The 26,353-nt window shown below is 41.7% G+C and overlaps 1 protein-coding gene across 42 annotated transcripts in view; it reads right to left on the reverse strand.

Moving 5' to 3' along the window:
• Window positions 1-26,353, reverse strand: part of DCAF1 (DDB1 and CUL4 associated factor 1) — a 109,773-nt gene that overhangs the window by 47,324 nt on the left and 36,096 nt on the right. For 38 of the 42 annotated variants that reach the window (XR_007095776.1, NR_146065.2, XR_007095774.1 and 35 more), the window contains 3 exons: window positions 23,613-23,686; window positions 19,924-20,037; window positions 576-713 (listed from right to left, as the gene is read on the reverse strand). Coding sequence is in view for 32 of the 42 variants with exons in the window: in XM_047449275.1 (XP_047305231.1) it covers window positions 576-713; window positions 19,924-20,037; window positions 23,613-23,686 (326 nt within the window). In the remaining 10 variants the exon portion in view is untranslated. The remainder of the gene's footprint in view (window positions 1-575; window positions 714-19,923; window positions 20,038-23,612; window positions 23,687-26,353) is intronic. The other 4 variants (NM_001171904.2, NM_001387582.1, NM_001349171.2 and 1 more) reach the window with 2 other exon arrangements.

The following is a 26,353-nucleotide window of genomic DNA, read 5'->3' on the forward strand; positions in this document are numbered from 1 at the left end:
TACTACATGTTTGAAAATTTTCATAACACAAATGGTAGAAAGGGAAACAGGGAATGTTACTATTCTTTATTGGCATACAATGTCATCATCCTTGACAAGATTAAAAGTAGCTATTTTCTGCCAGACACGGTGGCTCACGCTTGTAATCCCAGCACTTTGGGAGGCCTAGGCAGGTGGATCATGAGGTCAGGAGTTCGAGACCAGCCCGACCAACATGGTGAAACCCTGTCTCTACTAAAAATACAAAAAATTAGCTGGGCATAGTAGTGGGAACCTGTAACCCCAGCTACTCAGGAGGCTGAGGCAGGAGAATTGCTTGAACCCGGGAGGCAGAGGTTGCAATGAGCCAAGATTGCATCACTGCACTCCAACCCGGGCAACAAAGCAAGACTCCGTCTCAAAAAAAAAAAAAGCTATTTTCAATTTTTAAAAACTCTTATGGAAACTAATATTGAAATTATAGCCATGCTCCAGTACAAGATAATCAATATGATCTACTTATTCAGATTCAAGTAACAAGAACCTGTGAATACTCTCCCATTTTATATAAAAATTTATTCTAACACAGTCCTTACCAGCTGTGAATTTTCATCTCTATAGTTGGCAGCAATGTCTTGATTTTCCATAGCACCTCCTAACAGTCCAGTAGAATATGTCCTCAATGGTTGATCGGCCTCTCGGGCCCATTTGAAAAGATTCTCGACAATTCCCTCCTATAGTAAAGGAAATTAAATAGTACATTTCGGAAAAAGCCCAAGTTCATGATTAACAATAAGCAAAGATTTCAGTCTCATGAAAAAAATTTTAATATTTCAATGTTCGTAAGAGTAAAAAAAGTACTACTACAGCATCCAATAGGTTCCTTAGTTATATAAAGTATCTGTGCAATAGAAGCCTATTCAGCCAATAAAACTCAAGCTATCTCTTTTAGGTCTTTGCAGTCAGAAAAAAATAATTAAAAAATAAACAAAACTCAAGCTAAAAATTAACAATCCCCAGAATATAGTCCTAATCTAGATGTTAACTCCCAAAAGGCTCCATGATCAACTGGGGATCACTGAAAGTATCTCTCACAGAAGCTCACAAAGCACAGGTAATATATTAACGTTCTGAGAGGTGCTCCATCAAAGTAGTGTTTAATTTAGCCCCACATATCAGAACCTTCTTTTTAAAAAAAAAAAAAAAAGTCTCACTCTGTCGCCCAGGCTGGAGTACAGTGGTGCAATCTTGGCTCACTGCAACCTCCGTCTCCCAGGTTCAAGCGATTCTCCTGCCTCAGCCTCCTGAATACCTTGGACTACAGGCATGTGCCACCACAGCCAGCTAATTTTTGTATTTTTTAGTAGAGACGGGGTTTCGCTATGTTGGCCAGGCTGGTCTCGAACTCTTGACTTCAAGTGATCCGCCCACCTCGGCCTCCCAAAGTGCTGGGATTACAGGCGTGAGCAACCATGCCTGGCCTCCCAAACTTATTTTATTGATTGATTGATTGATTGATTAATTGAGACAGAGTCTTGCTCTGTTGCCCAGGCTGGAGTGCAGTGGCACAATCTCGGCTCACTACAAGCTCTGCCTCTTGGGTTCACACCATTCTCCTGCCTTAGCCTCCCGAGTAGCTGGGACTACAGGCACCCGCCACCACGCCCGGCTAATTTTTTGTATTTTTAGTAGAGACGGGGTTTCACCGTGTTAGCCAGGATGGTCTCGATCTCCTGACCTCGTGATCCGCCCCCCTTGGCCTCCCAAAGTGCTGGGATTACAGGCATGAGCCACCATGCCCGGCCCCCAAACTTATTTTTAATTACATTTTATTATGAAATATAATACATATAAACATGCGTGGTCCAAAGAACTTGAAAATCACCTATGTCCTACTACCCAGCTTAAAAAATAAAAACCTTCTGTAGGCCAAGATTGATAAAAACATAAAATAAAAATAAATAATACATTAAATTTTTTTTACCTTTTCCAGATCACAGATTTAAAAAGAAAAAATTTTAAAGAAACAGAAACCTCCCATGTGCCCCTCCTTATGCCATCTCCTGCAAGGAGGTTTAAACACTCCTAAATTTTAAGAATTTTCTTGTTAAACTTTGTTAACTGCTATATGCTTTTGAACTACATAAATTGTGATAGTGTATATATTTTGCTGCAACTTATTTTTTACTCAACATGTTTTTTAGATTCATCTATATTGCTGCACGTAGCACACTTAAATAACACTCAAGACAGGCTACAAATATTAATTTATCTCATCCTCATATCAAGCCTGTGTGATTGGGCAGGTACTATATTTGCAGATGAGGAAAATGAATCACAGTGAGGCTAGTGAACCAAAAGTTACAAAACTAGTGGCAGAGCTAGGATGTGAACCTAGACAGTGTACCTATAGATGCTCTTCACTGCCATACTCTGCTATTTTATTGGCTTGACCAATAATGGTGACATAAACTACTTTTGTGCTAGCCAAGTATCTAACATACAAACCTAGGAACAGAACTGCTAGGTCACAGGGTATGTGCATGCTGAACTTTACTAGATGAGGCCAAATTTTTCCAAAGTGATTGCAACAATTCACATTTCCACCAATAGTGAATAGAAGTCCTCTTCCTTTTTCCACATCTTTGCCAACACTACCACTATCAGTCTGATGGGTGTAAAAACAGCATTTCATTTAATTTGAATGTCCTTGTTTATTAAATAAGTTCTGCATTTTTTCATTTATGTGTTGACCATTCAGGCTTTTGCTTCTGTGAAGTACTCTTGCTTTTGCCAGTGTCTTTTGCTAAACCTAAGTTCTTTTTTTTTTTTTTTTTTTTTCCAGACAGAGTCTTGCTCTGTCACCCAGGCTGGAGTGCAGTGGCGCAATCTCGACTCAGTGCAACCTCCACCTCTCAGGTTCAAGTGTTTCTCCTGCCTTGGCCTCCCGAGTAGCTGGGATTATAGGTGCACACCAACCACACCCAGCTGATTTTTGTATTTTTAGTGGAGACGGGGTTTCACCATGTTGGCCAAGCTGATCTTGAACTCCTGACCTCAGGGGATCTGCCCACCTCCCACTCAGCTCCCAAAGAGCTGGGATTACAGGTGTTAGCCACCGCACCCGGCCAAGTTCTTAATTTTCTTATAAGCTTACTTAAGGCTGGGAGCAGTGGCTCATGCCTGTAATCCTAATGCTTTGGGAGACCAATGCAGGAGGATTACTTGAAGTCAGGTGTTTGAAGTCAGGAGTTTGAAACCAGCCTAGGCAACGTAGCAAGACCCCATCTCCACAAAAACAAAATTTAAAAATTAGCTGGGCGTGGTGGTGGACTCCTATAGTTCACGCTACTTGGGAGGCTGAGGCAGGAAGATCACTTGAGCCCAGGAGTTCAAGGCTGCAGTGAGCTAGGACTGAGCCACTGCACTCCAGCCTGGGTGACAAAGCGAGACCCCATGCCTAAAAAGAATAAAAATAAAAATAAATTTAAAAATGAAAAAAAATACTGGCCGTGCACAGTGGCTCACACCTGTAATCCCAGAACTTTGGGAGGCCAAGGAGGGTGGATCACCTTGAGGACAGGAGTTCAAGACCAGCCTGGTCAACATGGTGAAACCCCCATCTTTACTAAAAATACAAAAATTAGCCAGCATGGTGGCAGGTGCCTGTAATCCCAGCTACTCAGAAGGCTGAGGCAGGAGAATCGCTGAGCCCGGAAGGTGGAGATTGCAGTGAGCTGAGATCACGCCACTGCGCTCCAGCCTGGCCAACAAGAACAAAACTTTGTCTCAAAAATAATAATAATAATAATAATAATAATAATAATAATAAAATGTTTTAAATATTTTTTAAAACCTCGTATTTTCTTTTTCTTAAAGTCTTCCAAAAAGTCATCAGCTCATTCTCCTATACATTACCAAAAGTTTTGACCATTTTTAAAAAAGTCCTACTATGGGCTGGGCATGGTGGCTCATGCCTGTAATCCTAGCACTTTGCAAGGCCAAGGCGGGTGGATCACTTGAGGTCAGGAGTTCGAGACCAGCCTCCTGGCCAACATGGTGAAACCCCGTCTCTACTAAAATTACAAAAATTGGCTGGGTACAGAGGCGCGTGCTTGTAGTTCCAACTATTCGGGAGGCTGAGGCATGAGAATCGCTTGAACCTGGAAGGCAGAGGTTGCAGTGAGCTGAGATTGCGCCACTGCACTCCAACCTAGGTGACAGAGCAAGACTGTCTCTCAAAAAATAAATAAATAAATAAATAAAAACTACTCTGAAGAACACATTTTTGGAAATTTTGTTGTAAAATTTCTACTGATATAGAATATATTTACCACGTATTTTCAGCATATTTCTTTGTGCCCTTTTTCCAAACAGTATAAGAAACTTAAAATATTAATTCTATCTATTCTCTTCCACTGACATGTTATGAAGAATTTTGTTCCACCTTTTGTCTTCCTAAACTGTTTCTTTTGATTAACAGTTCTAGGTTTACAGGCCAGGCACGGTGGCTCATGCCTGTAATTCCAGCACTTCGGGAGGCCGAGGCGGGTGGATCACATGAGGTCAGGAGTTCGAGACGAGCCTGGTCAACATGGCAAAACTGCATCTCTACTAAAAATACAAAAATTAGCCAGGCATGGTGGCACACGCCTATAATCCCAGCTACTCAGGAGGCTGAGGCAGGAGAATTGCTTGAACCTGGGAGGCAGAGTTGCAGTGAACCGACATCATACCACTGCATTCCAACCTGGGCGACAGAGCAAGACTCTGACTCAATTAAAAAAAAAAAAGTTCTATGTTTACAGACAGACACTGAGGATATTTTCTACTATCTTCTGACCTCTACTGCCGCTGTGGCAAAGTTTGCTCTGTTTGATTATTTGCAGGAATGTTTTTTTACTCTAGTTGCTTTTAAGATCTTCTCTTTGGTAATCTTCACTGTACTTCCTGAATCTGAATGGTGATGTTTTTTGTTAATTCTTAAAATTCTACTGTCATCTCTCTGAATGCTGTCATCTCTCTGAATGTGCCTTTGTCCTTTCTCATCTCTCTACTCCCTCTACCTGAAACTCCCTTTAGATATTTTGAACTTTCTAATTCTAGTCCATGTTTCAACTTCTTTTGTACTTTTCATCTCTTATTTCTAGGATCTTCATTATTAGTTACCCTGTCAGATCTTCCAGTTCATTAATTGTTATCTTCAGCTCTGTTTAAACTTCACTCTAACTCATAGAGACAGGGGTCTCACTTTGTTGCCCAAGTTGATCTTGAACTCCTGGCCTCAAGGGATCCTCCTGCCTCAGCCTTCTGAGCAACTGAGACTATAAGCATGCATCCCTATACCCAGCTCATTCACTAAGTTTTTAAATTCCGTAACTATAATTTTTGTTTTTTCATAAAGTCTTGGACTTTTCTTAGAGTTCTGATTCCTTATTTTACATCCAATAGTTTAACCATTTTAAAGAGTATAATTCAGTAGGACTAAGTACATTCAAAATGTTAAATAACTATTACCGGTATAGTATCTATTTTCAGAACTTCTTCATTATGCAAACAAAAACTCTGTACCCCTCACTTTCAATTACGATTAAGACAACCAGACAGAAGATCAATAAGGAAACAGAGAACTTGAACAACACTATAAGCCATTGAACCTAAAAGATGTACACAGAAAACTCCACCCAACAACAGTAGATTACACAGTCTTCTCAAGTACACATAGAACTTTTTCCATGTTCTTTTATGTTTTTTTTTTCCCAGAGTAAACCATATGTTAGGCCACAAGTCTTAATAAATTTAAAAAGATTGAAATCTCACAATCTTTTCTAGTCAAAATGGAATGAAACTAGAAATCAACAATATCGCAAAACTACAATAGTCACAAATACATGAAAATTAAACATCACTCTTAAATAACTAATGAGTCAAAGAAATCACGAGGGAAATTAGAAAGTCACTTTGGACAAATGAAAACACAACCATACCAAAACCTATGGAATGCAGCAAAGGCAGTGGTTAAAATGAAATTTATTTATTTATTTCTCTTTTTTTTGAGATGCAGTTTTGGTCTTGTTGCCCAGGCTGGAGTGCAATGGCACAATCTTGGCTCACTGCCACCTCTGCCTCCTGAGTTCCAGTGATTCTCCTGCCTCAACCTCCCAAGTAGCTGGGACTACAGGCACACGCCATCACGCCTGGCTAATTTTGTATTTTTAGTAGAGATGGGGTTTCACCATGTTGCCCAGGCTGCTCTCAAACTCCTGACCTCAGGTGATCCACTCATCTCGGCCTCCCAAAGCACTGGGATTACAGGCGTGAGCCACTGTGCCCGGCCAGAATGATATTTATAGCTGCAAACACATGCAATTAAAAAAGAAGAAAGATCTCAAATCAAATTAGGAACTAGGCCTAACTATGCCTTATGCCATATGCCACTAGAAAAAAACAATACTCAAAGCTAGCAAAAGAAATAATAAAGATTATAGTGGGGAAAAATGAAATAGAGAATAGAAAAATACAGAAAGTCAATGAAACTAAAAGTTCTTCACCAAGATCAACAAAATTGACAAACTTTTGGCAAGACAGGTCAAGAATAAAAGAGAGGACTCACATTACTAGCAACAGAAATGAAACAGGCCTCATTACTACCAACTTTATAGAAATAAAAAGATTTATAAGAGAATACCATATACAATTGTACAACAACAAATTGGATAACCAAGATAAAATGGACAAATCTACCAAAACTGACTCATAAAGAAACAGAAAAACTAAATAGACCTATAAGTAGTAAGGAAATTGAATCAATAATCAAAAACTTCCCAAAACAGAAAAACCCAGGACATGATGACTTCACTAGTAAATTCTACGAAACATTTAAAGAAGAATTAAAGCCGGGTATGGCGGCTTATGCCTGTAAGCCCAACAATTTGAGAGGCTGAGGCAGGAGGATCACTTAAGGCTAGGAGTTCGAGACAAACTTAAGCAACAAAACCAGACCCATCTCTTTAAATAATTAAATAAAATAAAGAAGAATTAACACCAATCCTTCTCATAACTCTTCCCAAAAATTGACTGGGAGGTAACACTTCCTAACTCATTTTATGATGCCAGCATTACCAAAGCTAAAGACACTGTGAGAAAACAAAACTATAGACCAATATATCACTCATGACTATAGTTATAAAAATCCTCAACAAAATACTAGGAAAATGAATTCAGCAGCATAAGAGGATTATACATCATGACTAAATAAACTAAATCTCAGGAATTCAAAGACAGTTCAACATACCACATAACCACTGCAACTGATACCAAAAAAATGTTGACAAGTCAATACCCTGTAATGAAAAAACAATAAACTAGATTCTAGAAGGAAACATCAGCATAATAAAGGCCATTTATGAAAACTCATAGCTAATATCATACTCAACAGTGAAAGACTGAAAGGCTTTCCCTTAAGATCAAGAAAAAGATATCCACTTATTTTTTGAGAGACAAGGTCTCACTATGTTTTCCAGGATGGTCTTGAACTCCTCAGCACAAGCGATCTTCCCACCTCGGCCTCCCAAAGTACTGAGGTTACAGGCGTGAGCCACCACGCCTGGTCAAGGTGTCCACTTTTGCCACTTCTATTAAACATAGTACTGGAAGTTCTAGTGAGAGTAATTAGACATAAAAAAGGAAATTAAAGGAATCCAGATTAGAGAGTAAGAAGTAAGATTACCTCTGTTGGCAAATGACGTGATCTTATATGTGTAAAACCCTAAAGACTCCATACACAAAAAAACCTGTCAGTGAAGTAACACATTCAGCAAAGTTATAGGATACAAAATCAACATACAAAAATCAGTTGCACTTCTATACACTAGCAATGAACAATATAAAAAGGAAATTCTTTTTTTTTTTTTTTTTTTTTTTTTTTTTTTTTTTTAGTGACAAGGTCTCACTCTGTCACCCAGGCCGGAATGCAGTGACATAATCATAACTCACTGCAACCTCGAACTCCTGCGCTGAAGCAATCCTCCTGCCTCAACCTCCCAACTAGCCAGGACTACAGCCATGTGACACCACACTCAGCATATATATATATATTTACAGATGGGGTCTCACCATGTTGCCCAGCCTGCAGCCAAATAATTTTAAATAAAAATAAATTTTAGGCCAGACACAGTGGCTCATGCCTGTAATGCCAGCACCTTGGGAAACCAAGCCAGGGAGGATCATTTGAGCTCAGGAGTTCAAGACCAGCCTGGGCAACATAATGAGACTCTGTGTCTATTTTTTCGTATATATTTAAAAAATAAAAATAAATAGATTTTAGGTCAGGTGTAATCCCAGCACTATGGGAGGCCAAGACGGGTGGATCACCTGAGGTTAACAGTTTGAGACCAGCCTGGCTAACATGGTGAAACCCCATCTCTACCAAAAATACAAAAAATTAGCTGGGCATGGTGGCAGGTGCATGTAATCTCAGCTACACGGGAGGCCGAGGCAGGAGACTCCCTTGAACCTGGGAGGCAGAGGTTGCAGTGAGCTGAGATCATGCCGTTGCACTCCAGCCTGGGCAACAAGAGCAAAACTCTGTCTCAAAAAAAAAAAAAAAGATTGTAAAGCTTTTTTTCAATATCTCTGAAAGTAAAAGTCAACAACTTTTTAAAAACAGTGGCGGAATAAAACCAACTTAGTACACTGAACCAGCATTTTAAAAAAGAAATAAGTAAAAAAGTATCAGAATGAATTGCACAAAGAGTAAACAGTGTTTTTAAAACTTCTTTTTCATACATATAATGTATGGACTGGGTTTCAAGGTTTAAAAAAAAGTACATGTTACTATGTTTCACAAAATTTGAAAAACACCATCCTAGAGCAATAAGTCTTTTTCTTTTCTTTTTTGAGACAGGGTCTCGCTCTGTCTCCCAGGCTGGAAAGCAGTGGCACAATCACAGTTCACTGCAGCGTCCACCTCCTGGGCCCAAGCAATCTTCCCACCTCAGACTCCCAAGCAGCTGAGACCACAGTGTGCACCACTACACCCACAAAGAGACTCCATCTCTTTGTAAATGAGGTCTCCTTAGGTTATCCAGGCTGAATAAGTCTTAATTATAACTTCTGAGGAACACCAATAGCTAATTTGTTGAGAAATAATGATTTCTGACTCATTAATTGCTATAATTAAAATATTTTAAGAAATATTGATTTATTAAAAAAAGCTGCATAGGATACTTCTGAAGAGTACAGATCATCATGTAATCAAGTAACACAATATGAAAAAGGCTTGCAATCTGTTCTCTAAACACTGGATTCAAGACAATTTCCAATCTAATGCACAATGGAATAAGTCACTTCTCCCAATAAACCATTAATTAGGAAACGATAAAATTGTTCTTGCAGAAAGCTTTATTATTCATAATTTCCCTTAAATAGTGTTTCTAACCACCAAAGGGCACTCACTTCTTTCTAGATCTACAATGATGAAACTATAAAGAACCAGAGATGATTTTCCTACAAGGACAACATGGAAATTTTCAAAAAGCCCCGTTAAATCATCTGTTATCGGCTGGGTGCAGTGGCTCATGCCTGTAATCCCAGCACTTTGGGAGGCTGAGGTGGGCGAATCATCTGAGGTCAGGAATTCAAGACCAGCCTGGCCAACGTGGTGAAACCTCATCTCTAATAAAAATATTTTAAAAATTAGCCGGGCGTGGTGGCGGGCACCTGTAATCCCAGCTACTCAGGAAGTTGAGGCAGGAGAAATCACTTGAACCCAGGAGGTGGAGGTTGCAGTGAGCCGAGATCACACTATTGCACTCCAGCCTGGGCAACAGAGTGAGGCTCTGTCTCAAAAAAAAAAAAAAAATCTGTAATCTTGGATAAACCTTGTGTATACAAATATATTGCCATAAATGCTTTTATCATCCTGATTTTCAAAATAATCCATATTAAAAATTTTTTACAAAGACAGATTCTTCTAGTCTCACACGGGTTGCTAACTGGAGATTTTAGTCTATAAATGATATTGCAAATTATAACGTTAATCACAACGTTATTCTCTAAAATACTTTCTGTGGCACAATTATTCTGCAATAAAAGTTAATATGAATTTTCTTAAAAGCTAAATAAGAATCAAGATCTTTCATTTGGGTCATACACTTAACTATAATAAGACTTCCAGGCTGGGTGCAGTAGCTCATTCCTATAATCCCAGCACTTTGGGAGGCTGAGGCGGGAGGACTGCTTGAGCCCAAGAGTGTGAGACCAGCCTGGGCAACATAGGGAGACCTCATCTCTACAAAAAAATTTTTAAAAAATTAGCTGGGCATGGTGGCACTTGCCTATGGTCCTAGCTACTTGGGAGGCTGAGGCAGGAGAATGGTTTGAGACAAGGAGGTCAAGGCTGCAGTGAGCTTTTCTTTTAACCTGTCTCGAAAGAAAAAAAAAAGATTTCCAGAGTGTTTAAGAAGATTAAAATTTTAATAGCTTTAAAAATAAAGCAACTGGCCGGGCACAGTGGCTCACGCCTGTAATCCCAGCACTTTGGGAGGCCAAGGCGGGCAGATCAGCTGAGGTCGGGAGTTTGAGACCAGCCTGACCAACATGGAGAAACCCCATCTCTACTAAAAATATAAAAATTAGCCAGGCGTGGTGGCACGCACCTGTAATCCCAGCTACTCAGGAGACTGAAGCAGGAGAATTGCTTGAACCCGGGAGGCAGAGGTTGCAGTGGCCCGAGATCGCGCCACTGCCTCCAGCCTGCACGACAGAGCGAGACTCCATCTCAAAAAAAAAAAAACAAGCAAGCTATGGGACATACGCAATTCACACAGCAAATTCTTAAAGCTAAGATAGAAAATATTTACATTACGTCTAAAACTTGAGCAACTAATTTTTTTTTCTGTCTCACTCTCTTGTCAGGGCTGGAGTGCGGCAGCACGATCAGGGCTAACCATAGCCTCTACTTCCTGAGTTGAAGCGATCCTCCCGCCTCAGCATTCCAAACATCTGGGACTACAGGCATGAGCTACCGTGCCCAGCTAATGATTTATTTTTGTAGAGCCAGGGTCTTCCTATATTGCCCAGGCTACATCGCCAGTCTTGAACTCCTGGGCTCAAGCACTCCTCCTGCCTTAGCCTCACAAACTCCTGGGATTACAGATATGAGCCAACTCACCTGGCCCTAATTTTTCTCTTTTATTTATTTATTTTTTGAGATGGAGTCTCACTCTGTCACCCAGAGTGGAGTGGAGTGGCATGATTTTATCTCACTGCAACTTCCACCTCCTGGGTTCAAGCGATTCTCATGCCTCAGCCTCCCAAGGAGCTGGGACTACAGTCACACACCACCACACCCGGCTAATTTTTGTATTTTTTTGTAGAGACAGGGTTTTGCCATGTTGGCCAGACTGATCTCAAACTACTGGCCTCAAGTGATCTACCTGCCTCGGCCTCCCAAAGTGCTGGGATTACAGGCGTGAGCCACGACGCCCAGCCCCTAATTTTTGTTTTGTTTTGTTTTTTTTGAGACGGAGTCTCGCTCTGTCGCCCAGGCTGTAGTGCAGTGGCACAATCTTGGCTCACTGCAAGCTCCGCCTCCCAGGTTCACACCATTCTCCTGCCTCAGCCTCCCGAGTAGCTGGGACTACAGGCGCCCACCACCACACCCGGCTAATTTTTTGTATTTTTAGTAGAGACGGGGTTTCACTGTGTTAGCCAGGATGGTCTCGATCTCCTAACCTCGTGATCTGCCCACCTCGGCCTCCCAAAGTGCTGGGGTTACAGGTGTGAGCCGCCACGCCCGGCCTACCCAGCCCCTAATTTTTGATAGTTGAAGCATACATGCATAGTCACTATCAATTTAACATTTGCTTGTCTTCCTAACACTTACTCTTATTTGAAATTATCAGTTTATTTTTGTTTGCCCACCCCCAAACACCTACATGAATGTAAAGCTCTCATGTTGCTAACAAAATATTCCAAGCCCCTACAACAAAACACAGCACAAAAGAGATCTTCTAGTATTAGCTACACAAATAATAAATACCACGAAGAATAGGAAAGAAAGGCTTCCTCAAATACAAAGCTCTTTATCACTGGGAAGATCACTCATCAAGAGTAAGAGTTTGACATTATAAATCCATTCCAGAAACACATGGGCCAGGCATGGTGTCTCATGTCTGTAATCCCAGCACTTTGGGAGGCCAAGGCAGGAAGATGGTTTCAGCCCAGAAGTTCGAGACTAGCCTGGCAACACAGTGAGACCTCGTCTCTACAAAAAAATTTAAAAATTAGCCGGGCATGGTGACACATGCCTATACTTCCAGCTACTCAGGAGGCTGAGGTGGGAGAACAGCTTAAGCCCAGGAGGTCAAGGCTGCAGTGAGCCATGGTGATCTCACCACTTCACTCTAGCCTGGGCAACAGAGTAAGACCCCATCTCAAAAAAAAGGCTGGGCGCGGTGGCTCACACCTGTAATCCCAGCACTTTGGGAGGCTGAGGCAGGCAGATCACGAGGTCAGGAGTTCAAGACCAGCCTGACCAATATGGTGAAACCCCATCTCTACTAAAAATACAAAAATTTGCCAGGCATGGTGGCACGAGCCTGTAGTCCCAGCTACTTGGGAGGCTGAGGCAAAAGAATCACTGGAACCTGGGAGGCGGAAGTTGCAGTGAGCCAAGATCACACCACTGCACTCCAGCCTGGGTGACAAGAGCAAGACTCTGTCTCAAAAAAAGAAAAAAAAAAGATCCGGGGGAGGAGCCAAGATGGCCGAATAGGAACAGCTCCCGTCTACAGCTCCCAGTGCGAGCAACACAGAAGACGGGTGATTTCTGCATTTCCAACTGAGCTACCGGGTTCATCTCACTGGGGAGTGCCAGACAGTAGGTGCAGGACAGTGGGTGCAGTGCACCGTGTGCTAGCAGAAGCAGGGCAAGGCATCGCCTCACCCAGGAAGCATAAGGGGTCAGGGAATTCCCTTTCCTAGTCAAAGAAATCGGTGACAGACAGCACCTGGAAAATCGGATCACTCCGACCCTAATACTGCGCTTTTCCAACAGGCTTAAAAAACGGCACACCAGGAGATTACATCCCGCACCTGGCTCGGAGGGTCCTACGCCCACAGAGTCTCCCTCATTGCTAGCACAGCAGTCCCAGATCAAACTGCAAGGAAGCAGTGAGACTGGGGGAGGGGCGCCCGCCATTGCTGAGTTAGTTGTTTGATTAGGTAAACAAAGCAGCCCGGAAGCTCAAACTGGGTGGAACCCACCACAGCTCAAGGAGGCCTGCCTGCCTCTGTAGGCTCCACCTCTGGGGGCAGGGCACAGACAAACAAAAAGACAGCAGTAACCTCTGCAGACTTAAATGTCCCTCTCTGACAGCTTTGAAGAGAGTAGTGGTTCTCCCAGCATGCAGCTTGAGATCTGAGAACAGGCGGACTGCCTCCTCAAGTGGGTCCCTGACCCCCAAGTAGCCTAACTGGGAGGCACCCCCCAGTAGGGGCGGACTGACACCTCACACGGCTGGGTACTCCTCTGAGACAAAACTTCCAGAGGAACGATCAGGCAGCAGCATCTGTGGTTCACCAATATCCGCTATTCTGCAGCCACCGCTGCTGATACCCAGGCAAACAGGGTCTGAAGTGGACCTCTAGCAAACTCCACAAGACCTGCAGCTGAGGGACCTGTCTGTTAGAAGGAAAACTAACAAACAGAAAGGACATCCACACCAAAAACCCATCTGTACGTCACCATCGTCAAAAACGAAAGGTAGCTACAACCACAAAGATGGGAAAAAAACAGAGCAGAAAAACTGGAAACTCTAAAAATCAGAGCGCCTCTCCTCCTCCGAAGGAACACAGTTCCTCACCAGCAATGGAACAAAGCTGGACGGAGAATGACTTTGATGAGTTGAGAGAAGAAGGCTTCAGATGATCAAACTACTCCGAGCTACAGGAGGAAATTCGAACCAATGGCAAAGAAGTTAAAAGCTTTGAAAAAAAATTAGACAAATGGATAACTAGAATAACCAATGCAGAGAAGTCCTTAAAGGACCTGATGGAGCTGAAAACCAAGGCACAGAAAGCTACGTGACGAATGCAGAAGCCTCAGTAGCCGATGTGATCAACTGGAAAAAGGGTATCAGTGATGGAAGACGAAATTAATGAAATGAAGCGAGAAGAGAAGTTTACAGAAAAAAGAATAAAAAGAAACGAACAAAGCCTCCAAGAAATATGGGACTATGTGAAAACACCAAATCTACGTCTGATTGGTGTACCTGAAAGTGACAGGGAGAATGGAACCAAGTTGGAAAACACTCTGCAGGATATTATCCAGGAGAACTTCCCCAATCTAGCAAGGCAGGCCAACATTCAAATTAAGGAAATACACAGAACACCACAAAGATACTCCTCAAGAAGAGCAACTCCAAGACACATAATTGTCAGATTCACCAAAGTTGAAATGAAGGAAAAAATGTTAAGGGCAGCCAGAGAGAAAGGTCGGGTTACCCACAAAGGGAAGCCCATCAGACTAACAGCTGATCTCTCTGCAGAAACTCTACAAGCCAGAAGAGAGTGGGAACCAATATTCAACACTCTTAAAGAAAAGAATTTTCAACCCAGAATCTCATATCCAGCCAAACTACGCTTCATAAGTGAAGGAGAAATAAAATACTTCACAGACAAGCAAATGCTGAGAGATTTTGTCACCACCAGGCCTGCCTTACAAGAGCTCCTGAAGGAAGCACTAAACATGGAAAGAAACAACCGGTACCAGCCACTGCAAAAACATGCCAAATTGTAAAGACCATTAACGCTAGGAAGAAACTGCATCAACTATCGAGCAAAATAACCAGCTAACATCATAATGACAGGATCAAATTCACACATAACAATGTTAACTTTAAATGTAAATGGGCTAAATGCTCCAATTAAAAGACACAGACTGGCAAATTGGATAAAGAGTCAAGACCCATCAGTGTGCTGTATTCAGGAAACCCATCTCACATGCAGACACACACATAGGCTCAAAAGAAAGGGATGGAGGAAGATCTACCAAGCAAATGGAAAACAAAAAAAGGCAGGGGCTGCAATCCTAGTCTCTGATAAAACAGACTTTAAACCAACAAAGATCAAAAGAGACAAAAAAGGCCATTACATAATGGTAAAGGGATCAATTCAACAAGAAGAGCTAACTATCCTAAATATATATGCACCCAATACAGGAGCACCCAGATTCATAAAGCAAGTCCTTAGTGACCTACAAAGAGACTTAGACTCCCACACAATAATAATGGGAGACTTTAACACCCCACTGTCAACATCAGACAGATCAACGAGACAGAAAGTTAACAAGGATACCCAGGAATTGAACTCAGCTCTGCATCAAGCGGACCTAACAGACATCTACAGAACTCTCTACCCCAAATCAACAGAATACACATTCTTTTCAGCGCCACACCACACCTACTCCAAAACTGACCACATAGTTGGAAGTAAAGCACTCCTCAGCAAATGTAAACGAACAGAAATTATAACAAACTGTCTCTCAGACCACAGTGCAATCAAACTAGAACTCAGGATTAAGAAACTCACTCAAAACTGCTCAACTACATGAAAACTGAACAACCTGCTCCTGAATGACTACTAGGTACATAATGAAATGAAGGCAGAAATAAAGATGTTCTTTGAAACCAATGAGAACAAAGACAAAACATACCAGAATCTCTGGGACACATTCAAAGCAGTGTGTAGAGGGAAATTTATAGCACTAAATGCCCACAAGAGAAAGCAGGAAAGATCTAAAACTGACACCCTAACATCACAATTAAAAGAGCTAGAAAAGCAAGAGCAAACACATTCAAAAGCTAGCAGAAGGCAAGAAATAAGATCAGAGCAGAACTGAAGGAAATAGAGACACAAAAAACCCTTCAAAAAATTAATGAATCCAGGAGCTGGTTTTTTGAAAAGATCAACAAAATTGATAGACCGCTAGCAAGAATAATAAGAAAAGACAGAAGGATCAAATAGACACAATAAAAAATGATAAAGGGGATATCACAACCGATCCCACGGAAATACGAACTACCATCAGAGAATACTATAAACACCTCTACACAAATAAACTAGAAAATCAAGAAGAAATGGATAAATTCCTCGACACATACATCCTCCCAAGACTAAACCAGGAAGAAGTTGAATCTCTGAACAGACCAATAACAGGCTCTGAAATTGAGGCAATAATCAATAGCTTACCAACCAAAAAAAGTCCAGGACCAGATGGATTCACAGCCGAATTCTACCAGAGGTACAAAGAGGAGCTGGTACCATTCCTTCTGAAATTATTCCAATCAACAGAAAAAGAGGGAATCCTCCCTAACTCATTTTATGAGGCCAGCATCATCCTGATACCAAAGCCTGGCAAAGACACAACCAAAAAAGAGAATTTTAGACCAATATCCTTGATGAACATCGATGCAAAAATCCTCAATAAAATACTGGCAAACCAAATCCAGCAGCACATCAAAAAGCTTATCTACCATGATCAAGTGGGCTTCATCCCTGGGATGCAAGGCTGGTTCAACATATGCAAATCAATAAATGTAATCCAGCATATAAACAGAACCAAAGACAAAAACCACATGATTATCTCAATAGATGCAGAAACGGCCTTTGACAAAATTCAACAACCTTCATGCTAAAAACTCTCAATAAATTAGGTATTGATGGGACCTATCTCAAAATAATAAGAGCTATCCATGACAAACCCACAGCCAATATCATACTGAATGGGCAAAAACTGGAAGCATTCCCTTTGAAAACGGGCACAAGACAGGGATGCCCTCTCTCACCACTCCTATTCAACATAGCGTTGGGAGTTCTGGCCAGGGCAATCAGGCAGGAGAAGGAAATAAAGGGTATTCAATTAGGAAAAGAGGAAGTCAAATTGTCCCTGTTGGCAGATGACATGATTGTATATCTAGAAAACCCCATCGTCTCAGCCCAAAATCTCCTCAAGCTGATAAGCAACTTCAGCAAAGTCTCAGGATACAAAATCAATGTACAAAAATCACAAGCATTCTTATACACCAATAACACAGACAAACAAGAGAGCCAAATCATGAGTGAACTCCCATTCACAACTGCTTCAAAGAGAATAAAATACCTAGGAATCCAACTTACAAGGGATGTGAAGGACCTCTTCAAGGAGAACTACAAACCACTGCTCAATGAAATAAAAGAGGATACAAACAAATGGAAGAACGTTCCATGTTCATGGGTAGGAAGAATCAGTATCGTGAAAATGGCCATACTGCCCAAGGTAATTTATAGATTCAATGCCATCCCCATCAAGCTACCAATGACTTTCTTCACAGAATTGGAAAAAACTACTTTAAAGTTCATATGGAACCAAAAAAGAGCCCACATCACCAAGTCAATCCTAAGCCAAAAGAACAAAGCTGGAGGCATCACGCTACCTGACTTCAAACTATACTACAAGGCTACAGTAACCAAAACAGCATGGTACTGGTACCAAAACAGATATATAGACCAATGGAACAGAATAGAGCCCTCAGAAATAATGCCGCATATCTACAACTATCTGATCTTTGACAAACCTGACAAAAACAAGAAATGGGGAAAGGATTCCCTATTTAATAAATGGTGCTGGGAAAACTGGCTAGCCATATGTAGAAAGCTGAAACTGGATCCCTTCCTTACACCTTATACAAAAATTAATTCAAGATGGATTAAAGACTTAAATGTTAGACCTAAAACCATAAAAACCCTAGAAGAAAACCTAGGCAATACCATTCAGGACACAGGCATGGGCAAGGACTTCATGTCTAAAACACCAAAAGCAATAGCAACAAAAGCCAAAATTGACAAATGGGATCTAATTAAACTAAAGAGCTTCTGCACAGCAAAAGAAACTACCATCAGAGTGAACAGGCAACCTACAGAATGGGAGAAAATTTTTGCAACCTACTCATCTGACAAAGGGCTAATATCCAGAATCTACAATGAACTCAAACAAATTTATAAGAAAAAAACAAACAACCCCATCAAAAAGTGGGCGAAGGATATGAACAGACACTTCTCAAAAGAAGACATTTATGCAGCCAAAAAACACATGAAAAAATGCTCACCATCACTGGCCATCAGAGAAATGCAAATCAAAACCACAATGAGATACCATGTCACACCAGTTAGAATGGCAATCATTAAAAAGTCAGGAAGCAACAGGTGCTGGAGAGGATGCGGAGAAATAGGAACACTTTTACACTGTTGGTGGGACTGTAAACTAGTTCAACCATTGTGGAAGTCAGTGTGGCGATTCCTCAGGGATCTAGAACTAGAAATACCATTTGACCCAGCCATCCCATTACTGGGTATATACCCAAAGGATTATAAATCATGCTGCTATAAAGACACATTCACACGTATGTTTATTGCGGCACTATTCACAATAGCAAAGACTTGGAACCAACCTAAATGTCCAACAACGATAGACTGGATTAAGAAAATATGGCACATATATACCATGGAATACTATGCAGCCATAAAAAATGATGAGTTCATGTCCTTTGTAGGGACATGGATGAAACTGCCAACCATCATTCTCAGCAAACTATCGCAAGGACAAAAAACCAAACACCGCATGTTCTCACTCATAGGTGGGAATTGAACAATGAGAACACATGGACACAGGAAGGGGAACATCACACACTGGGGACTGTTGTGGGGTGGGGGAAGCGGGAAGGGATAGCATTAGGAGATATACCTAATGCTAAATGTCGAGTTAATGGGTGCAGCACACCAACATGGCACATGTATACATATGTAACAAAACTGCACGTTGTGCACATGTACCCTAAAACTTAAAGTATAATAATAATAAAATTAAAAAAAAAAGAAAAGAAAAAAAACCACACAACATATAATCTCAAGATTTAAAAAAATTCTACACTGGCCAGGTGTGGCAGTTCATGCCTGTAATCCCAGCACTCTGGGAGGCCAAGGAGGGTGGAACACTTGGGTCAGGAGTTTGAGACCAGCCTGGCCAACATGGTGAAACGCTGTCTCTACTAAAAATACAAAAATTAGCCAGGCATGGTAGCGTACACCTGTAATCCCAGGTACCCAGGAGGCTGAGGCACAAGAATTGCTTGAACCCAGGAGGAAGTTGCAGTGAGCTGAGACTGCACCACTGCATTCCAGCCTGGGCGACAGAGCAAGACTCAGTCTCAAAAAATGAAAAAACAAAAGTAAATAAAATAAAATTAAAAATACTGGCCAGGTGCGATGGCTCACGCCTGTAATGCCAGCACTTTGGGAGGCCGAGGCAGGTGGATCACCTGAGGTCAGGAGTTCGAGGCCAACCTGACCAACATGGTGAAATCCCATCTCTACTAAAATTACAAAAATTAAGTGGACATGGTGGTGGGCGCCTGTAATCCCAGCTACTTGGGAGGCTGAGGCAGGAGAATCACTTAAGCCCGGGAGGCAGAGGTTGTAGTGAGCTGAAATTGTGCCACTGCACTCCAGCATGGGTGACAAAGCAAGACACCATCTCAAAAAAAAAAAAAAAAAAAAACTATAGCACCCAAACAACAAGTATTTGTCAAAATAACTATTTTTAAATTTTTGGCTGGGCGCAGAGGCTCACGACTATAATCCCAGCAATCTGAAATGCTAAAGTAGGAGGATCACTTGAGCCCAGTTGCTCACTGGGCAATACAGCAAGACCCCATCTCAATTTAAAAAATGATAATAAAAAATAAATAATTTTATTATTGCCTGTCAGGATTTCTTAGATTTTTATAACATATATTACTATATGAATAACAAAAACTGTAACAATGATTTTAACCACAAAGACAAATCAAATACATCATAATTCAATTACAAAATAAAATTATGACTTTACTTTTCACTAAGTACCTTTTCTTGAAAGACGACAGCAGTTTCCAGCCCTGGCATGATGTCTAATAGGAGTCTGCAAGCTGCAGTGTTTAAAGGGGGCTCTCGGCTTGTCATCACATATGCATTCACCAGCTGTAAAGAAAAAAAAGAAATACTGTTCATCTAAAATTCAACCCAGTCAAATTAAGGACATCTAATAAAACCTCAACATATTCCCATTACTTTCTTAACGGGTATGAAAGAAGACTGTATGTAACTAATTAAACTTTTACTAATTAAACCTTTAATTATTATAAACACTTATGATCTTGCTGAGCCATGGTGATACCACACATAATTTCTTCTGCAGCTTTAAAGCCAAATCCCCCCAAAACAACTCAGCAATCATAGAAATTAAAGGTCAAACGCTGATGCCAGTGATGCACACTTGTAATCCCAGCACTTTGGGAAGCCAAGGCAGGAGGATCACTTGAGCTGAGGAGTTTGAAACCAGCCTGGACAACACGGCAAAACCCCATCTCTACCAAAAATACAAAAATTAGCCAAGCATGGTGGCACATGCCTGTAGTCCCAGCTACATGGGAGGCTGAGGTGGGAGGATGCCCAGAGCCCAGGATGTCAAGGGTGAAGTGAGCCCTAATCACCACTGCACTCAGGCCTGGGCAACGGTGAGACCCTGTCTCCAAAAAAACAACAACAACAACAACAGAACAAAAACAAAAAAAATGCCACAAATAAACCTATCCCCTTCCATATACACTTTAATGATTTTTTTTACAGACAGGGTCTCACTCTGTCACTTAGGCTGGAGTGCAGTGGCACAAGCATGGCTCACTGCAGTCTCGACCTCCCAGTCTCAAGTGATCCTCCAGCTTCAGCCTCCCAAGTAGCTGGGACCACAGGTGCACACCACCATGTCCATCTAATTTTTTCATTTTTAGTAGAGACGGGGCCTCATTATGTTGCCCGAGCTAGCCTCTAACTCCTGGCCTCAGGTGATCCTCCCACCTCAGCCTCCCAAAGTACTGGGATTACAGGCATGAGCCATCACATCTGGCCCCCACACCACTGCATATACACTTTTTTAAAAGCATAAGCAGGGCAATATGAGCTCCATATTCTTGACAATGGTTAATGAAAAACTCAAATTTTATAATAAATTATATATATAATACAATAATATGTATTAATAAAAGTCTCCATTTGGCACTTAGTATTTACTGAATCTCTAATATTAAGCGATACTATGTTCTGTGCTGGGCATATAACAGTAAATAATTATTGACACAGTCCCACCATCCCAAGATTCATTATCCAGGCTGAGTGTGGTGGCTCATCCCTGTAATCCCAGCACATTGGGTGGCCAAAATCTGAGGATGGCTTGAGCCCAGGAGTTCAAGACCAGCCTGGGCAACCCAGTGAAATCTTGTCTCTACAAAAAAATCAAAAAATTTGCCAGGCATGGTGGCACATGCCTGTGGTCTCAGCTACTCAGGAGGCTGAGGCAGGAGAATCCTTAAACATGGGAGGTCAAGGCTGCAGTGAGTGATCGTACTAATGCACTCAGCGTGAGATGCTGTCTTAAAAAAAAAAAAAAAGATGTGTAATTCAATAGAGGTGACAGTTGGGAAAACAAGTAATACCATGAGTAAAGGATTACCGAAGCCCCTAGGAGGGCACAAGACCCCTGAAGAAGAATCAGAGAAGGCTTAAGAGAAGAAGTGATTCCAAGCCGGGATGTAAAAGACGAGAAGGAAGTATCTAAGGAAACGTTGGAGGAGAGGAGGGCCAGAAGGCAAGAACTGAAACTGCAGAGAACAAAGTTCAGAGACAGATTTGGTTTTTACACCAAACTAAGAAACTTAAAATTTGTCCTGAAGGTAATAGAAAGCCATTAATGGATTTTAAGCAAGAGGGTACCATAATTTCTGGGCTATAAAGTGAAGAATGAATTAGAGGAGGACAAGACAAGAAGAAACCAGTGAAGATGTTATTTCAGTAACCAAGTGAAAAATTGTTGGCTAAACGGTGGTCTAGCTAAACTGGGGTCTGGTGACAAGAACAGAACTGGAGGGATTTGTGAAGTTTAAGGTGAAGGGAGTAATAACATCTGTAAGTTCACTGTATAAGAGAGCTTGGAGGCGTAAAGGACACTTTATAGCTGACTAGACAAGGACATCGTTACTGAGCTAGAGAACAAAAGAAACAGATTATGGAGCAAATGGTCAGACACGTAAAATTCGAGGTGTATATGGGAGACACCCAGAAGGAAATGTCTAGAAGTGATCTGAAACTAAGAAAGAGACAATGGTGATATAGAAATAAATCTAGAAGTCAACATAATACAGATAATAATAGCTAATACTGGCTGGGTGCAGTGGCTCATGCCCGTAAACCCAGTACTTTGGGAGGCCGAGGCAGGTGGATCACCTGAAGTCAGGAGTTTGAGACCAGCCTGACCAACATGGAGAAACCCCGTCTCTACTAAAAATACAAAAATTAGCCTGGCGTGGTGGTGCATCCCTTGTAGTCCCAGCTACTTGGGAGGCTGAGTCAGGAGAATCACTTGAACCCAGGAGGCAGAGGTTGCAGTGAGCCGAGATCACACCACTGCACTCCAGCCTGGGCAACAAAAGCGAAATTCTGTCTCAAAAAATAAATAAGCAAATAAATAAATGATAATACTAGCTAATACCTACTGGGCCTTCATCGTGTGCCAGGCTCTCTGCCAAGCACCTTCATGCTTAATTTCATTCAAGGAGTACAAAAAAGGTTTTAAATGCTATTAACTCCATTTTATAGACTAGAAAAATAAGGCTGCGGCTGGGTGCAGTGGTTCACGTCTGTAATCCCAGCACTTTGGGAGGCCAAGGTGGGTGGATAACTTGAGGTCAGGAATTTGAGACTAGCCTGGCCAACATGGTGAAAGCCCATCTCTACTAAACATACAAAAAAATAAGGCAGGTGTGGTTGGCAGGCACCTGTGGTCCCAGCTACTTGGGAGCCTGAGGCAGGAGAATCACCTGACCCCGGAAAGCAGAGGTTGCAGTAAGCCAAGATTGTGCCACTGCATTCCAGCCTAAGTAACAGAGCCAGACCCTGTCTCAAAAGGAAGAAAAGAAAAAGAAGGCAGTGAGAAAATAAAGCTTGAAGAGGCTTAAGTCTGTCAGTGAACTATGGAGCTGGATTTAAATCCAAAACATGGACCCCCAAAGCCCACGTTCTCAAGCATCATGCCATCCCACCTCCAAAAACAAACCTATCAGCCACAATTTGTTGAGCAATTACTATGTTCAGGAGCTGAGTAAAATATGTATATTCTTATTTACTCCTCACATCCTCCTCAAGATAGACAGAAAGCAACTTTCTATCCCTCTACATGCCCAATGCATACCCCACAGTGTCAGTGCAGAATCATGCTGTATGCATCACTCTTATTTTTCCATTGAAAAACTGAAGAGGGCCCCTATATTCTCAAATTCAAAATCATTTTGCCCAAGAATGAGCGTAGATACCTTGGGAGGCCTCACCAATATCAAAGTACATACCAAAGAGAAAGCATTATGGCCACAACCAGGACTTTGGCAAAAAACTCTACTCCCAACTTTGTCAAGGCCTTAGGAGAAGGCAAACTATTCACGAAAAAACAATAAAGATACAGCATCTACAGATGATAATCGCTGGAGAAAAGTAAGAAGCAAACCTACTGCATTCATGAAATCATCATTCTTGAAGAGTATTCTCAGCAAGTGGCCCAGCATACACTCTGGATCAGCTCGACCTACCAAGAGAAGAGGGGAGGAACAAACAAAGGAATGAGTAAGTCATCCCAGTCAAGCAACTTAGACCTCTGGAAAGGCACCTGGGTTGTTATAAGCACTAATAAAATGCCAGCAAAAATAATCAGAAACAAAAGATTATTGTGCTAAATTAGATTACATAAGAAACATGCTTTAGGCCAGGCGCAGTAGCTCATGCCTGTAATCCCAGCACTTTGGGAGGCTGAGGCGGGCAGATCACGAGGTCAGGAGTTTGAGAACAGCCTGGCCAACATGGCGAAATCCCATCTCTACTAAAAATACAAAAATTAGCCAGGTGCAGTGGCGGGCGCCTGTAATCCCATCTACTCGGGAGGCTGAGGCAGGAGAATTGCTTGAACCCAGGAGGCGGAGGTTGCAGTGAGCCAAGATTGCACCACTGCAATCCAGCCTGGGTGACAGAGGAAGACTCCGTCTCGAAAAAAATAAAAATAAAAAGGGACATGGATGAAGCTGGAAACCATCATTCTCAGCAAACTATTGCGAGGACAAAAAACCAAACACCTGTTCTCACTCATAGGTGGGAACTGAACAATGAGAACACTCGGACACAGGAAGGGGAACATCACACACCGGGGACTGTTGTGGGGTGGGGAGAGGGGAGAGGGACAGCATTAGGAGATATACCTAATGCAAATGACGAGTTAATGGGTGCAGCACACCAACATGGCACATGTATACATATGTAACAAACCTGCACGTTGTGCACATGTACCCTAGAACTTAAAGTATAATAAAAATATATATATAAAAAAAGAAACATAATTTAAAAATAACAACGTAAAAACTTGAGACACTGCTCTCTAGCCTTCCCATCTCCTAGCATACTGCCTATACAGCACTGTTGAATTAAACAAATGAGCACTAGATCCAGATGAGCATCACCAAGAGTATACAAGGTCTACAAAAGAATCATAAAGGAACCTAAGAGAGAGAAAACTTCTGACTCCCCATCCATAAAAAGGTAGGAAGCATGCTTCTATTGATGGGTGGCCTGGAGAAGACTGGCTCCAAGTCCAACCTCTCCTTCCACTACAATGACAACAGCAACAGAGATGCATGCTCAAACATGTAAGGACACCCTGGGTCAGGGTGACGGGGGTGAATTCCACCAAGCAATCACTAACCCTAAAGATACAATAACCTTGCCCATCTTAACTTAGCTCTTGTGGAAAGAAAGGAGGCCAGGGGCCTAGGATCAACTCAATGCATAGCCTAACGATAAAAGAATTAGTTGATGGAAGGGAGAATTACTGGTTTGTTGTTGTTGTGTTCTGAGATGGAGTCTTGTTCTGTCGCCAAGGCTGGAGTACAGTGGCTCAATCTTGGCTCACTGCAACCTCCACCTCCTAAATTCAAGCAATTCTCCTGCCTCAGCCTCCCGAGTAGCTGGGATTACAGGTGCCTGCCACCACGCTCAGCTAATTCCTGTATTTTTAGTAGAGTCGGGGTTTCACCATGTTGGCCAAGCTGGTCTCGAACTCCTGACCTCAGGTGATGTGCCCGCCTCAGCCTCCCAAAGTGCTGGGATTACAGGTATGAGCCATCACACGCGGCCTAGTTTGTTTTTAAAACAGAAACCTCTATTTTATTTCATTTCCTTTCTTTCAGAGCATTTAGAGAGGCAAATTTAGTCAAAACATACAATAGAGAATGAAGACAAGATGTGAGCTGCTGCTATGTTTTTACCAAGCTGTTAATTAGTATCTCAAAGTAATTCACAAAAAGAAAGAAACATCAGAGAAAAGTATCACAAAAACAAACAAGGACCGTAGTTACCTAATGTTAGCTGTTTATAAATCATGAAACTGAAATCCTTATTTTTAATAAAGAAATAATGCCACTGACAAATATTGCTTAATATTAAGAGGAAAAAATTGCTTTGTAAGCTCTACTGAAAAATGTCATATCTTTCTCTGTCTCTCCCTTCTTCCTCGTTGCCATTTAATCCATCTCCAGGCAATGACATTCAGCATGATTATCTATCTTTTAATGCTTTTCATAATCCTATGCATTAACTTAATTTCTGATTTCACATTCACTTTCATACTTCTTCATGCTCTGATTTGAGTTATTGAAGATGTGGGTTAAATGGTGAATATTCCTCTGTAGTCACAAGTAGGGATGTCCAGGACAACAGCACCAGATAACATCACATAAGCAACTAGACTCTCAATTTGAAATGCCTAGCTTACATGTGAGAACAAAAGTGTAAGAAATAGCAGTAAACCCTGGAACATTCAGGTGAATATACAATGTCCTTATTTTTATAACTCGCACTCATTCACATTCTTTTTCCACACACAAATTTTTTTTTTTTTTTTTTTTTTTTTTGAGACAGAGTTTTGCTCTTCTTGTCCAGGCTGGAGTTCAATGGCATGATCTTGGCTCACCGCAACCTCTGCCTCCTGGGTTCAAGCGATTCTCCTGCCTCAGCCTCCTGAGTAGCTGGGATTACAGGCATGCGCCATCATGTCTGGCTAATTTTGTATATTTAGTAGAGACGGGGTTTTTCCATGTTGGTCAGGCTGGTCGCAAACTCCCGACCTCAGGTGATCCTCCTGCCTCGGCCTCCCAAAGTGCTGAGATTACAGGCGTGAGCCACAGCGCCAGGCCAAAATTTCAGACTC

This window comes from Homo sapiens, chromosome 3, assembly GCF_000001405.40.
Source record: "Homo sapiens chromosome 3, GRCh38.p14 Primary Assembly".
NCBI lineage: Eukaryota > Metazoa > Chordata > Mammalia > Primates > Hominidae > Homo > Homo sapiens.